The sequence below is a fragment of the Homo sapiens genome, chromosome 1 (genome assembly GCF_000001405.40).
Source record: "Homo sapiens chromosome 1, GRCh38.p14 Primary Assembly".
NCBI lineage: Eukaryota > Metazoa > Chordata > Mammalia > Primates > Hominidae > Homo > Homo sapiens.
The window spans coordinates 100,367,019-100,382,619 of record NC_000001.11 but is presented as its reverse complement, the minus strand read 5'-3'; the positions used below and the strand labels follow the sequence as shown (position 1 = coordinate 100,382,619).

The window sequence follows — 15,601 nt, the reverse complement described above, 5'->3', positions numbered from 1 at the left end:
TTTCAGAGACTTTTTTTTTCTCCAAGCTCAGGTTTTATTTTTCTCAGAGGAAAATGAAATCAATAATTAAAACTGTATTGACGGCCAAGCACAGTGGCTCATGCCTGTAATCCCACCACTTTGGGAGGCTCAGGCGGGAAGCTAGCTTAAGCCCAGAAGTTCAAGACCAGCCTGATCAACATAGTGTGTCCCTGCCTCTACAAAAACTAAAAAAAAAAAAAAAAAAAAATAGTTAGCTGGGTGGGGTGCAGAAGTGTGCACCTATATTTCCAGTTAGTCAGTTGACTGAAGTGGGAGAATCATCAAAGCCCAGGAGTTTGAGGCTGCAGTGAGCTATGACTGCACCATGGCACTCCAGCCCAGGTGACGCAGTGAGACCCCCTCTCAAAAAAAAAAAAAAAAAAAAAAGAATAGAGGAAGGTATTCAGTTTTTTCAAAATACCACAACTTTGTCTTTTGTTAGTAAAGTCTTCTTTTTCAGAAGACTTTAGCCCAGTGTTCTTAGCATGTCTGTGTCAAGGATCCCTCTGAGAACCTGAAAAAAAGCCATGAATCCTCCCAGAAGAAAAATGTAAATACATACAAAATTGTATAATTTCAAGGGTTTATGGATCCCTTGAATTACCAGAATAATAATTCCAGCTCAAGGCTATCAATCATTGATGACATTTAACATTAAATAACATACACAGTTTAACAAATTGTTCTCACTTCAATGCATCTTCCCTCTTTTGATTGCTTCCCCTATCCTAGGGGAAAGACCAAACAGCAACCTATTACTGCCTAATTCCTAGTACTGACAATTTTTTAAAGTACAGTTTAAATAAGCAGCAGGTTTTTTATTGGTGATGATGCATTTTATGTTTGGATTTTTAATCTAAGCATATGTTTGATGGGATAATTTTCCATTCTGATTGACATAATTAAAATAAGGACATTGGGAATAGAATGCATATAGACACAGAAACACAAAAATAGCGATAAATCACCAACTCAAATCATCAACTGGAAAAAAACATCTTCTCATTTCAAAAATGAGAAATTTGGGATTGGAATAAAATGTACAGCAAAATATTACCTATCTATATAAAGCACAGAATGAGGAAGAAAAATCACACAAGCTTTCTTGGAAGGAATAAAAATTTCCAAACTAAAAAATGAAATGTGCCTAAAAGAACTGGGAAATCACACAAGAGAAGAATCCTAAGACGAAGTTACTAGTTAACACAGTGCGAAATTACTCAGAGAAGTAAAGGAGTTTGAGGATCCAGCAAGTGCCATCAGATTCAGCATTTAAGACGTTATTAGAGCAGTTTCGGTAGAGTAGGGAAGGCAAAAGTTAGATAACAAAGGGTTAAGAAATCAGCACACAGGAAGGATGGAGGCAGGCTCTTCTTCTGAAACCTCTGGAAGCAAAAGGAGAAAGGGGGATCTGCAAATGAAGGGGATCATGACAAAGTCAAAAGAAGTCTCTGTGTGTCTGTTGTCCCTGCACTAGGCACTGAGAACACAAAGATACATGACATCCTCCACCTTCCACCCTCTAGAAGCTCATAGTCTAGTGAGAATGACAGGTGCAAACAGGTAATTACAATTCATCAACGATACAGATCTGCACAGAGAATGATGGGAAAACAAGGGAGGCACCCTCAATCCAGTCCAAAAGGACAAGAAGATGCTTCCTAAAGGGTGGTGGCTGGACAAGGTATTAAAGAATGAAGAGCTATCAAGCCAGAGGGTAAGGGCATCCCAGTCAGACTGGTCTTCATGAGCAAATGCATGGAACAGCTGGTATGGTAGAGTAAAGTGCAAGGCTGGGAGTGGCAAGGGTACTGCTGCTTCCCAGTAAATTAGTGCATGAAATCATCCACTGGGAAAACAACAAGGGTGAGAGCTGGCAAGGCAGAAAGACAAGAAAGCAAAGTACCCAAGACCTTACTGAAGTAAGTGACCATGGGCTGCAGGCAAGAGACATCAGCAGGGTGCCAGTGGACTGAGAGAACAGGGAGACTGAAGGTCTAGCAATCCCAGTAGTGTGAGAGGGACAGAATGTGCAAAGTGAGTAACAAAGGCATTTTCCAAGTGGGAGAATCTGGAGTCTGGGTTCGTGGAAGTGAAGCAGACAGAATGGCCCTAACACTTACTGGAATGAAAGAGGCAGAGGAGCCTCAAAGTCAGCGTGGGACAACAAGGTCAGGTAGCTGGGGCAATGCTAAGAGTGAACAAAGGATGACTGTAAACCAGAGGCTATGGTTCCTACTGAAGGTGGAAAGAAGAACAGGAAAAATGTGGTCAAGAGCCATGAAATCTAGCCCTGACTTTGCCTGCTGCACTGGGCAAGTCACACACCTTTCCCAGGCTTCCCTTTCTGAGTCTTGACTAAATGGTCATTTAGATTCCTAAAATTATATTGGACAGCTTTCCCATATATAAACAATAGCTTTAAGGCTGAGAAACAGGTGTTCATCGATTTTGTAGAAGAACTGTCTTTATTATATTCCCTATCAGAATTCACAAATGTTACATTGGTAACTTTATTATGTATAGGACTTTAAAATGTACAAAGCTTTTACATATTGATATAGTTTGGATATTTGTCCTCTCCAAATCTCACGTGATCCCCAGTGTTAAGAGGTGGGGCCTTGGGTCATGGGGGCAGATCCCTCATGAACGGCTCGGTGCCATTCTGAGGGGATTGAGTGGGTTTTCACTCTTAGTTCCCCCAAGATTTTGTTGTTAAAAAGAGTGTGGCACCTCCCTCCCCTCTCCCTTGCTCCCTCTCTTGCCATATGACATGACTGTTCCCCTTGACCTTCTGCCTTGAGTGAAAGCTTCCTGAGGGACTCACCAGAAGCAGATGTTGGTGCCACGATTCATGTACAGCCTGTGGAACCATGAGCTATATAAAACTCTTTTCTTTATAAATTACCTAGCCTCTGGTATTCCTTTATAGCAATGCAAAACAGACTAAGACATGTTTTCTAATATAATACTAACCACCACCCTGTGACAGTTCTATAATTCCTATTTTACAGATGAAGAAACTAAGATTCCACAAAACTGAAGCAATTCCAACTTTGGACTGGTACAGTAAATCTTTTTCTCCTAATTAGAGATTCTATGTAGTATGCTTCATTGAGACAACTCATGACTTATCAACATTTGGGTTTTTAAAATTCAATCATTCAGCAAGTAATGCAGTGCCCATTAATTGTCCTAAAGCTACATATGTCATTCCAGACAACCAACAGATTACCTTACCACTAAAATGAACCAAGGAGAGTGTTTAAACTTTATTAATAATGTCGAAACACAGCATTATAAATGAAAGCAAATAGAAACAAGTTTACATACATATACTTACCATACTGTTCAGTGTAGAAAATGGTAGAAAAAATACTCTCAACTCAACCCATCTACTCTTCTGCAACTGCTATAAGTAGAACACTGAGTCAGACCAGTGATTTTACTTTCCTGATAATGACTCCTTTCTCTTTGGCTACCCTAGATAGTACTCGGTTCCCAGATTAATTATAATACCCAATTCATACCAACTACATACTAATGACTAATCAAGACAGCAAAGAAATTCCTTGGTCTTCAAAAGAAAAAAATAGACTTCCATTATTTATTAATTATCCTTTTCTTGTTTACTCAGCCATTAAAAGTTCATTTTCTATAAAAAGGATATTATTTACTTCCTAGGTGATTGCAAAAACCTCTATTTTACTTTCTAAAATACTGGCTTCTTTTCTTAAAAACAGATCTGGCTTAATTAAAGGAATTTACATGTATCTTTTCAAGTCAGACAACTTTGTAAGTTAATTCCTACAAAAGTTGAGTAAAACAGATTTTATTATGTTGGTTCAAAAGTAATTGTGGTTTTTAACATTAAAAGTAATTATAAAAACCACAATTGCTTTTGCACCAACCTAATATGTTATATGATTATTGATTCTTTTTGGTATAATTCCATGTCCACCTCTCACTTTGAAATCAATGGCAAAAATTTGTAAATTCATAAGGATACAACATATTCTACAGGAAATTCTCTATCAGACTGCTTTTTATACCTAAGTTCATTAAAAACCAATCAAATCAAAAAATAATCACAGAACAGTTAATATGTCCAAGGCATTGTACTATGTAACACCAGTAACATTTTACCCAGCAGAAAGAGCAAAATACCTGAGCAATATAATTTAGTATTTATCCTTAAGAGTCCTCTGTATAGCATTTTGTCTTTCAAACTGAAATAGTAAAGATCTTCATTTAGAAATTGGAAGACAAGGAGATAAATATTGCTTTCTGTGTGATAAAATAAGTTTACTAAAACTAGGTATATAGATGAGTTTCCTCATATGCTTGAAGAAGAAAAAAAAAGCCACATGCCAAAATCCACATAAAAGTACAGAAAAGGAAACCAGATACCCATGTGAAATCAAAACTATAGATGAATACTAAATGTATGACCAGAATTCTATCATCTCAGGTAAATTCCATTCTCTGTTGCTGCTGGTTCATCAATCTCACCTGGCTGTTAACTACACAGAACATTTAAGAAACATGCAAAAAATTTCAATCTTGACCAAACAGAAAATGTTATGCACACAGCTCCAGCCATGATAAGCCCTGTTCATCACTTGGAAACAGGGTCTACAGGCATATCTGAAGGTTTCAGAAAAATTATCCTAGGAGGGAATTTGATAGAGACTCATTAACAACAGCCTAAAAGGATTTGTGCTTTCTTTCTTAGATCACTATTCCAGTGACTTCATTCAGCTCATATTGCAATTCATTCTGAAAACTGAAAGAGGTTAACATGTCCTTTGTGGTATAATCAGGAGGATCACTTTCAAACTCTAGGTGAACTACTCACATAAATTTCCAGAGATCAAGATCACCTGACTAAATGTTTTGTGCACACCAACCCCACTGAGCAGATCCTATGGTTCAAATGTTTTAATTCCAAATTATAAATATCACTACAATACTCACTTTTAGTTTCTTGTTTAGTTTGCAGCAATATCTGTACACCATTGCCAAGTTCAGCGGTCCAAAATCTGCATAGAAACTAAGATACAAGAAAAACAAAAAACGTAGTATTTAGTCAAAGTATAATTTTCAGTAACATCAATGTTCATCTTTAATTTCATTAAATTTACAATCAAATTTCAATTATCTTATAACTAATCTGATCCATGGTATAATCCAAATAACTAATGGTTTCGTCCTAATGCCCTCTAGTTACTCTAACTAGTCTCTTAATAGGGAACTAGTGGCCGGGCGCGGTGGCTTATGCCTGTAATCCCAGCACTTTGGGAGGCTGGGGCAGGCAGACTGCCTGAGGTCAGGTGTTCGAGACCAGCCTGACCAACATGGAGAAACCCCATCTCTACTAAAAATACAAAATTAGCCAGGCAGTGTGGTGCTTGCCTATAATCCCAGCTACTCGAGAGGCTGAGGCAGGAGAATCACTTGAACCCGGGAGGTGGAGGTGGAGGTTGCGGTGAGCCAGAGATCGCACCACTGCACTCCAGCCTGGGCAACAAGAGTGAAACTCCATCGCAAAAAAAAAAAAAACAGAACTAATTGGACAGTTTTAAGTTCCACCTCCTTTTATCTGCCTGCCAGACCATTTAAGTAAACACACTAAAGAACAGGCAAAGAAAGAACCAACAGGAATATAACAAGTACATGGCCTGTACTACTTGCTTTTATTTCTTTATCATATATTTTAGTCATAATCTTACTTGTGTACTTTGGATTCCAACTATTCCTCTCAAACATAGCTCACAATTCTCAAGTATCTTAAATCCAGTGGTATTTTTTCAGTTTTCGTTCTCCATGAACTTTCTGTATTATAAGACACACTGGCTCCTCCCCCTCTCTTCATCCCCTAACATCTCCAGGATACAGTCATCAATCTGTAGATCTTCTCTCTTAGCCAACATCATGAATTTAACTGACGACCCTATGGAAAAGTGATGTCTCTTCCACTTGAGAGCCAGTGTCAGTCTTCTCCATCTCGGCTACCTGCTGGGTCCACCATCTACAGGCCCTTCCGTCACCTGGAACTCAAAATATCTAAAACTCAACCCATCTTTCCTTCACATCATCCCTCCAGACAAAAAAACACTTTGCTTCTCCCAGTCACTCAGGCATTAAATCTCTCAATCACAGTAGGCCAACAAATAAATATTTAATTCTGATATATCAAACAAGCTACTACTATAATTCATCCTTTCCCTTTCTCTTCCTATTTTGCCAACAGAAGTCCAGATCCTTTTCATCTCACACCTGTACTTTATATATATATATATACTTTAAGTTCTAGGGTACATGTGCACAACGTGCACATTTGTTACATATGTATACATGTGCCATGTTGGTGTGTTGCACCTATTAACTCAGCATTTACATTAGGTATAGCTCCCAATGCTATCCCTCCCCCATCCCCCCACCCCATGACAGGCAGGCCCTGGTGTGTGATGTTCCCCTTCCCATGTCCAAGTGTTCTCATTGTTCAGTTCCCACCTATGAGTGAGAACATGCGGTGTTTGATTTTTTGTCCTTGTGATAGTTTGCTCAGAATGATGGTTTCCAGCTTTATCCATGTCCCTACAAAGGACATGAACTCATCATTTTTTATGGCTGCATAGTATTCCATGGTGTATACGTGCCACATTTTCTTAATCCAGTCTATCATTGATGGGCATTTGGGTTGGTTCCAAGTCTTTGCTATTGTGAATAGTGCCGCAATAAACATACGTGTGAATGTGTCTTTATAGCAGCATGATTTATAATTCTTTGGGTATACACCCAGTAATGGGATGGCTGGGTCAAATGGTATTTCTAGTTCTAGATCCTTGAGGAATCGCCACACTGTCTTCCACAATGGTTGAACTAGTTTACAGTCCTACCAACAGTGTAAAAGTGTTCCTATTTCTCCACATCCTCTCCAGCACCTGTTGTTTCCTGACTTTTTAATGATCGCCATTCTAACTAGTGTGAAATGGTATCTGATTGTGGTTTTGATTTGCATTTCTCTGATGGCCAGTGATGATGAGCATTTTTTCATGTGTCTGTTGGCTGCATAAATGTCTTCTTTTGAGAAATGCCTGTACTTTTTAAAATCTCTCTCCCCTTCCCAATCATCCTGTATTCCAAGAAAGATATTAGTCTTCATAAAGTCTCAGTTCTCACATATCCTCCCACTATTCAAAAATGTTTAATGGTTTCTTACTGCCTTTAGAATAATTCCTTGGCCCAGCAATCAAAGCCTTACACAACATTCCCCTAGCTTCCAGGCTGACCTTATCTCCTGAGAGGTCCCATAGGAAATCTGCATTCCAACAAACATGTCCATTCCTTATTCCCAAATATTCTAAATGTATTCTTTATCTAAGCCTCCACTCACATCGGTTTCCTTGTCTAGAGTGTCCTCCTTTTCTTTCTGCTACACTCTACCTTGCTCAAAGTCCAGTGCAAATCCCACCTTCTCCATGAAGCCTTTCCAATCATCCTAGGGAACACCTTTCTCTCAAAGTTTTCAAAACTTACCGTCTGAGTCATTCGTTTAGTCTACTACATATACTACTAAATATTGCAAATTATTTTAAGTATTGATTCTACTTAATCAACTACAATGTAAGTCTCTCTGTCAGGGACTGTATCATATACTTATGATTAGAAGAATGTCCTACAGGTAATACAAAAGCAGAAACAAGTATTCATTATGAAATAGTTTGTTCATTAATGCTTTAAGTTCAATTTAGTCTAGACCACAAATTTACTAAATACCAACACATTTCCAAAATCCATCCCCAAAAGACCTTTGAATTAGTCATTTAATTTTTTTGCTGCCACCCAAATGACACTATCATAACTATGTCATTACATTACATAAAATCTGCCAATAGCCACTTGCCTTAGATAAATAAAGAATGCTGAATTTGTATATTTCATCCCTATTAGGCAGGTTGGTAATATTTTGAAATTTATATTACAGGTGGCACCAAATTTAGCTGTCCCTTTACACAGGCTTCATGAGAAGAACACAGAGATGCATCAGAGAAATGCAAATCAAAACTACAATGAGATACCATCTCACACCAGTTAGAATGGCGATCATTAAAAAGTCAGGAAACAACAGGTGCTGGAGAGGATGTAGAGAAACAGGAACACTTTTACACTGTTGGTGGGACTGTAAACTAGTTCAACCATTGTGGAAGTCAGTGTGGTGATTTCTCAGGGATCTAGAACTAGAAATACCATTTGACCCAGCCATCCCATTACTGGGTATATACCCAAAGGACTATAAATCATGCTGCTATAAAGACACATGCACACGTACGTTTATTGCGGCTCTATTCACAATAGCAAAGACTTGGAACCAACCCAAATGTCCAACAATGATAGACTGGATTAAGAAAATGTGGCACATATACAACCATGGAATACTATGCAGCCATAAAAAATGATGAGTTCATGTCCTTTGTAGGGACATGGATGAAATTGGAAATCATCATTCTCAGTAAACTATCGCAAGAACAAAAAACCAAACACCGCATATTCTCACTCATAGGTGGAAATTGAACAATGAGAATACATGGACACAGGAAGGGGAACATCACACTCTGGGGACTGTTGTGGGGTGGGGGGAGGTAGGAGGGATAGCATCAGGAGATATACCTAATGCTAGATGACGAGTTAATGGGTGCAGCACACCAGCATGGCACATGTATACATATATAACTAACCTGCACATTGTGCACATGTACCCTAAAACTTAAAGTATAATAATAATAAAAAAAAAGAAAGAAAGAAAGCAGCAGTGATTTGAAATAAAAGTTCTAGACTCATTTCTTAACTTCCCAGTGTGGTGTTGTATTGTAAATGTAAACAAAATACCCACGAATCCAAAATGAACTATACCTATAATCCCCTTACTGACCAGTCCAAGACAAGTCAACAAAAACTAACTCAAAAGAACCAAAATGAAGAGTATAGGCATATCTCATTTTATTGCACTTCACTTTATCATGCTCACAGATAGTGCATTTTTTTACAAATTGAAGAACCGTGGCAACCCTGCATTAGGCAAGTCTATCAGTTCCATTTCTCCAACAGCATGTGCTCACTTCATGTCTCTGTTTCACATTTTGGTAACTCTCACAATATTTTAAATTTTCATTATTATTGTATCTGTTATGATGGTCAGTGATCTTTGATATTACTACTGTAATTGTTTTGGGTCTCCACAAACTGTACCCAAATAAGATAGCAAACTTAATTGATAAATGTCATATGTGTTCTGACTGCTTCACCAACTAGCCATTCCCCCATCTCTCTCCCTCTCCTTGGACCTCCCTATTCCCTGAGACACAACAATATTGAAATCAGGCCAATTAATAACCCTATCATGGCCTCTCAGTGTTCAAGTAAAAGCAAAAGTCACACATGGTTCACTTTAAATCAAAAGGTAGAAATGATTAAGCTTAGTGAAGAAGGTGTATCGAAAGCCAAGATAGGCCAAAAGCTAGGCCTCTTGCTCCAAACAGCCAACTGTGAATGCAAAAGAAAAGTTCTTGAAGGAAATTAATAGTGCTACCCCAGTGAACATATGAATGATACAAAAACAAAATAGCTTTATTGCTGATATGGAGAAAGTTTTAGTGATCTGGATAGAAGATGAAACCAGCCACAGCATTCCCTTAAGCCAAAGCCTCATCCAAAGCAAGGCCCTAATTCTCTTCAATTCTATGAAGGTTAAGAGAGGTGAGGAAGCTGCAGAATAAAAGTATGAAGTTAGCAGAGGTTGGTTCATAAGGTTTAAGATTTATGGGAGGAAGTCAACATATTAACATTCACAGGAGTTTGAAAGATGTTGATTCCAACGCTCATGAATGCTATTGAGGGGTTTAAGATGTCAGTGATGGAAGTAACTGCAGATGTGGTGGAAATGGCAAGAGAACTAAAATTAAAAGTAGAGCCTAATTGCTAAATTCTCATGATAAAACTTGAATGATGAGTTGCTTCTCATTCAACTTTATCATGCTCACACCTTTTGCTCATGAATGAGCAAAGAAACTGGGTTCTTCAGATGGAATTTACTCCTTTTGAAGATGCTGTGAATATTATTGAAATGACAACAAAAAAATTAGAATGTTACACATACTTAGTTGATAAAGTAGCCCCAGGGTTTGAGAGGATTAACTCCTATTTTGAAAACTCTAAGTAAAATGCTATCAAATAGCATCTCATGCTACAGAGAAATCTTTCATGAAAGGAAGAGTGAATCAATATGGCAAATTTCACTGCTGTCTTATTTTAAGAAATTGCCACAGCCACCCCAACCTTCAGCAACCACCACCCTGATCAGTCAGCAGCCATCACACTGGGGCAGGGCCCTCCACCAGCAAGAAGATTACAACTTGCTAAAGGCTCAGATGATCATTAGCATTTTTTAGCAATAAAGTATTTTTAGTTAAGGTATATACATTGCTTTCTTAGACACAATGCTACTACACACTTAATAGACCACAGTATAGTATAAACATAGCTTTTATATGTACTGAGAAACCAAAAAACCTTGTGTGACTTGCTTTGTTGCAGTATTTGCTTTATTGTGGTGGTCTAGAACCAAACCTGCAATATCTCCACAGTATGCCTGTGTATAAATATGCATCTACCAGTATTGATTAAGGTAACCTTTTTTCTAAATAAGAGATTTTCTTATCCTTGGGTTAATGGAAGCAACACTTTTGACTAATATAACTTGTTTTTTTTCTACTTGTATATGAATATTGACACTGGTAGAATTTGAAGTTTTAGCTATGGTTATTTCAGCTTTTTAAACTCACTTTGAATAAATTTTGGGAAAGCAAAAATAATTCAAGTTATCCATAAAAATCCTCCAAAAACCAAATCCAGCAGCACCTCAAAAAGTTTATGCATCACGATGAAGTAGGCTTCATTCCTGGAATGCAAGGTTGGGTCAGCATATGCAAACCAATAAATGTGACACACCACATTAACAAAATTAAACATTTTTTTAAAATGTGATCATCTCAAAGACACAAAAAAAGCTTCTGATAAAATCCAACATCCGTTCATGGTAAAAATCCTTAACAAACTGGGCATCAAAGGAACATACCCCAAAATAATAAGAGCCATCTATGACAAACCCACAACCAACATCATACTGAATGAACAAAAGCTGGAAGCATTCCCTTTAGGAGTTGAAACAAGACAAGGATGCCCACTCTTACCACTCCTATTTAACACAGTACTAGAAGTCCTAGCCAGAGCAAGCAACCAAAGAAAAAATAAAAGGCACTCAAATAGGAAAATAAGTCAAACTATCTCTTTCCACTGACGATATAATGATATACCTAGAAAATCCTAATGACTCTGCCAAAAGGCTCCTGGAACTGATAAACAACTTCAATAAGGTTTCAGGATACAAAATTCATGTACAAAAATCAGTAGCATTTCCATACACCAATAATATTCAAGCTAAGAGCCAAATCAAAAATGTAATCCCAGTTACAATAGCCTCAAAAGAACTAAAATACCTAGGAATACATCTAACCAACATGAAAGATCTCTACAAGGAGAACTACAAAACACTGCTAAAAGAAATTACAGACAACACAAATGAAAAAACATTACATGCTCATGGATTGGAAGAAACAATATGGATAAAATCACTATATTGCCCAAAGCAATCTACAGTTTCAACACTATTCCTATTACACTACCAGTATCATTTTTCACAGAATTAGAAAAAAAACTATTCTAAAATTCATATGGAACCAAAATAAGGCCAAATAGTCAAAGCAATAAGCAAAAAGAACAAAGCCAGAGGCATCACATTACCCAAATTAAAACTCTACTCTAAGGCTATAATAACCAAAACAGCATGGTACTGGTACAAAAACAGACACATAGAACAATGGAACATTATAGAGAACCCCGAAATAAACCTGTACACCTACAGCCATCTGATCTTCAACAAAATCAACAGAAATAGCACTAGGGAAAGGACTTCCTATTCAATAAATGGTGCTGGGATAGCTGGCTAGCCAAATGCAAAAGAATGAAACTGGTCTCCTATCTATCACCGTATACAAAAATTAACTCAAGATAGATTAAAGATTTAAATGTAAGATCTCAAACTAAATGTCCCAGAAGAGGCCAGGAGCCGTGGCTCATGCTTATGAAATAGCACTTTGGGAGGCCAAAGTGTGAGGATTGCTTGAGCTCAGGAGTTTGAGACTAGCCTGAGCAACAAAGGGAGACTCCATCTCTACAAAAAAAAAAAAAACTTTAGGCTGGGTGCAGTGGCTCATGCCTATAATCCCAACACTTTGAGAGGCTAAGGCAGGCCGATCGCTTGACCCCCAGGAGTTCAAGACCGGCCTGGGCAACATAGCAAAACCCCATCTCCTAAAAATTACAAAAATTAGCTGGGTGTGGTAGTGCATGCCTGTAGTCCCAGGTACTTGGGAGGCTGAGGCAGGAGAATTGCTTGAGCCCGGGAGGTCGAGGCTGCAGTGATTTCTGATGGTGCCACTACACTCCAGCCTGGGTGACAAAATGAGACCCTGTCTCCAAAAAAAAAATTTTTTTTTTTAATTAGCCAGGTGTGGTGGCATACATCTATAGTCCTAGCTACTTGGGAGGCTGAGGCAGGAGGATCACTTGAGCCCAGAAGGTCAAGGCTGCAGTTAGCCATGATTATGCCACAGCACTCCAACTTAGGTGTCTCAAAAAAAAAAAAAAATTTTTAGAAGAAAACCTAGGAAACACCATTCTAAATATCGGCCTCAGGAAAGAATTTATGACTAAGTCCTCAAAAAGCAAACATTGACAAGTGGGACCTAATTAAACTAAAGAGCTTCTGAACAGCAAAATAAACTATCAACAGAGTAAACAGACAACATACAGAAGGGGAAAAATATTCGCAAACTATGTATCTGACAAAGGTCTAATATCTAGAATCCATAGGAATTTAACAGTTGAACAAGAGAAAAATAACCCCATTAAAAAATGAGCAAAAGACATGAACAGACACTTCTCAAAAGAAGAAACACAAGCACCTAACATATGAAAAATGATCAACATCACTAATCATCAGAGAAACACCAATCAAAACCATAATGAGACACCATCTCACACCAGTCAGAATGGCTACTATTAAAAAGTCAAGGCTAGGCAGTGGCTCACGCCTGTAATTCCAGCACTTTGGGAGGCCAAGGTGGGCGGATCACGAGGTCAAGAGATCAAGACCATCCTGGCCAACATGGTGAAACCCCATCTCTACTAAAAATACAAAAATTAGCTGGGCGTGGTGGCACATGCCTGTAGTCACAGCTACCTTGGAGGCTGAGGCAGGAGAATCGCTTGAACCCAGGAGGCAGAGGCAGGAAAATTGCTTGAACCCAGGAGGCGGAGGTTGCAGTGAGCCGAGATTGCGCCACTGCACTCCAGCCTGGCGACAGAGCGAGACTCCATCTCAAAAAAAAAAAAAAAATGTCAAAAAACAACAGATTCACACTGTTGGCGGCGGGAATCTAAATTAGTCCAGCCACTGTGAAAAGCAGTTTGGAGATTTCTCAAAAAAACTTAAAACAGAACTACCATTCAACCCAGCAATCCCATTACTGGGTATATATCCAAAAGAAAATAAATCGTTCTATCTTTGCAGCAACATGGATGAAGCTGGAGGCTATTATCCTAAAAGAATTAATGCAGGAATAGAAAACCAAATACCGCATGTTCTCATTTATAAGTGGGAACTACACAATTGACTACTCACGGACAAAAAGATGGCAACAATAGACATGAAGGACTACTGAAGTGGGGAGGGAAGAAGGGAGTAAAGGGTTGCAAAACTAACTATTGGGAACTATGCTCACTACCTGGGTGACAGGATCATTTATACCCCAAACCTTAGCATCACAAAATATGCTTGTATACAAACCTGCACATATACCCCTGAATCTAAAATAAAAGTTGAAATTTTTTAAAAAAGAATTCGTCATCAAATTCCAGTTTCATACTAACCATTACAATCCAACTTCAAACTCAAATTCAAAGATGTACAATTTCTAACAATCAGATTGGCTTAGCCACATGTACTTTTGAAAGCAATATGGTTCACATATGAACCTATTTCACCAAACACCAGGAAATAAAATTGGCATACTACAATAACACAGGAGAAAGTAAATCAAATACAAACATTATCCTTAAGTTGATCTGTACTCTCCAACATGGTAGCCACTAGTCATGGCTATTTAAATTTAAATTAACTAAGGTGAAACAAATTAAAAATTCTTCAATTATTTCAAATGTGTTCAAAAGCCACACGTAGCTAATGGCTACAGAATTCAACAATGTTCTGCACTGATGGACAATACTGATCAAGATGAAAAGACATATCAAAATAACTATAAAAGATAAAAGAAATTACCAAGTACCATAAACGAAGTATAGATAAAATGTTTGAAGACAATATCCTTTCCCTACAAAGGCCCAATTATTTCCCAACAGTGAGAATAGGCCCTGGTAATTTTTATCCTGTTTTGTTCAAGAGGGTCATATTTCCAAAAAGCCAGTTGGGACTTGGAACATAAGAGAATGGAAAAATAGGTGAGGATCTAGTTCCCACCCTCCTTCACTGTCTCTCAAAAAGACAGGCTGTTTTAAGAGTAGGCTGCTATCCAAAGATAGCAACAATGAAGAAGTTATGCCTCTCTTTTGGCAAGAGCCTCAGGTTAAAGGTAGAAAAAAAATAAGCAATCCTAACCCAGAGGACTTCCCACCCCACAGTATGTTGAAGCTCAGTGGGCCAGCCTTTATATCCCACAAAAAGACGGATGAGCTTCAAGTTACACTAAAAAAATTCAGTCAAAAGTTTTGCACAACCAAGAGCAATTTTGAACAAGTCTTCAAAAGTCAGAATTGTCACAAATATAAAGCCAACAAGCTCTATCTTATCTTAAGGTCATTTGATACAATACTTACACTTGTAAGACTATTTATGTATTTAAAATAATATAGTCTTATACATATAGTTTTCTAGCTTACTATTAATAAATATATTTTTAAATGTCAAGATCATTGAAAAATTGCTGATAGTTGTTCACACCATGCTGGGTTATCACCAACTTTGGTATAATGAAATACTGTGAATAAAGAAGACATCTTCCAACAACATGCTCCTTTGTAAGAACCTTCTTCACCAGAGTTGAGGGAAAAATGAAAACATACTTATAATACATACTATTAGCTAGAGGGAAATTCAAAATAAAAATTAATTGATAATCAATGAAAATAATCAAATGTGCTAGATTTATTTGGGCAGCTTGGAACAAAAGCAGGGTGGAAGAGGAGAAATGGAAGGTCATCAACCTGGGGATAGTGAAAAGGGAGGAGATGGTAGAAATAAGTACTTCAGAGACTATTCAGAAATCTGAGGGCTGAGTGCACTCCTAAACTTGAAGTTAATGACAATGGACAGAGTCTTCTCCACTCTGGCATTTCCTAGGAAAAGGCTTCCAGAGCCACAGCCAAGCACGGGTCCCCACTT

At 37.9% G+C, this 15,601-nt stretch overlaps 1 protein-coding gene across 6 annotated transcripts in view; it reads right to left on the bottom strand.

Moving 5' to 3' along the window:
* Positions 1–15,601, bottom strand: part of CDC14A (cell division cycle 14A) — a 175,277-nt gene that overhangs the window by 137,658 nt on the left and 22,018 nt on the right. For all 6 annotated transcript variants that reach the window (NM_001319211.2, NM_001319210.2, NM_003672.4 and 3 more), the window contains exon 3: positions 4,999–5,074. In NM_001319211.2, the coding sequence (NP_001306140.1) occupies positions 4,999–5,040 (42 nt within the window). In that variant the 5' untranslated portion in view covers positions 5,041–5,074. The remainder of the gene's footprint in view (positions 1–4,998; positions 5,075–15,601) is intronic.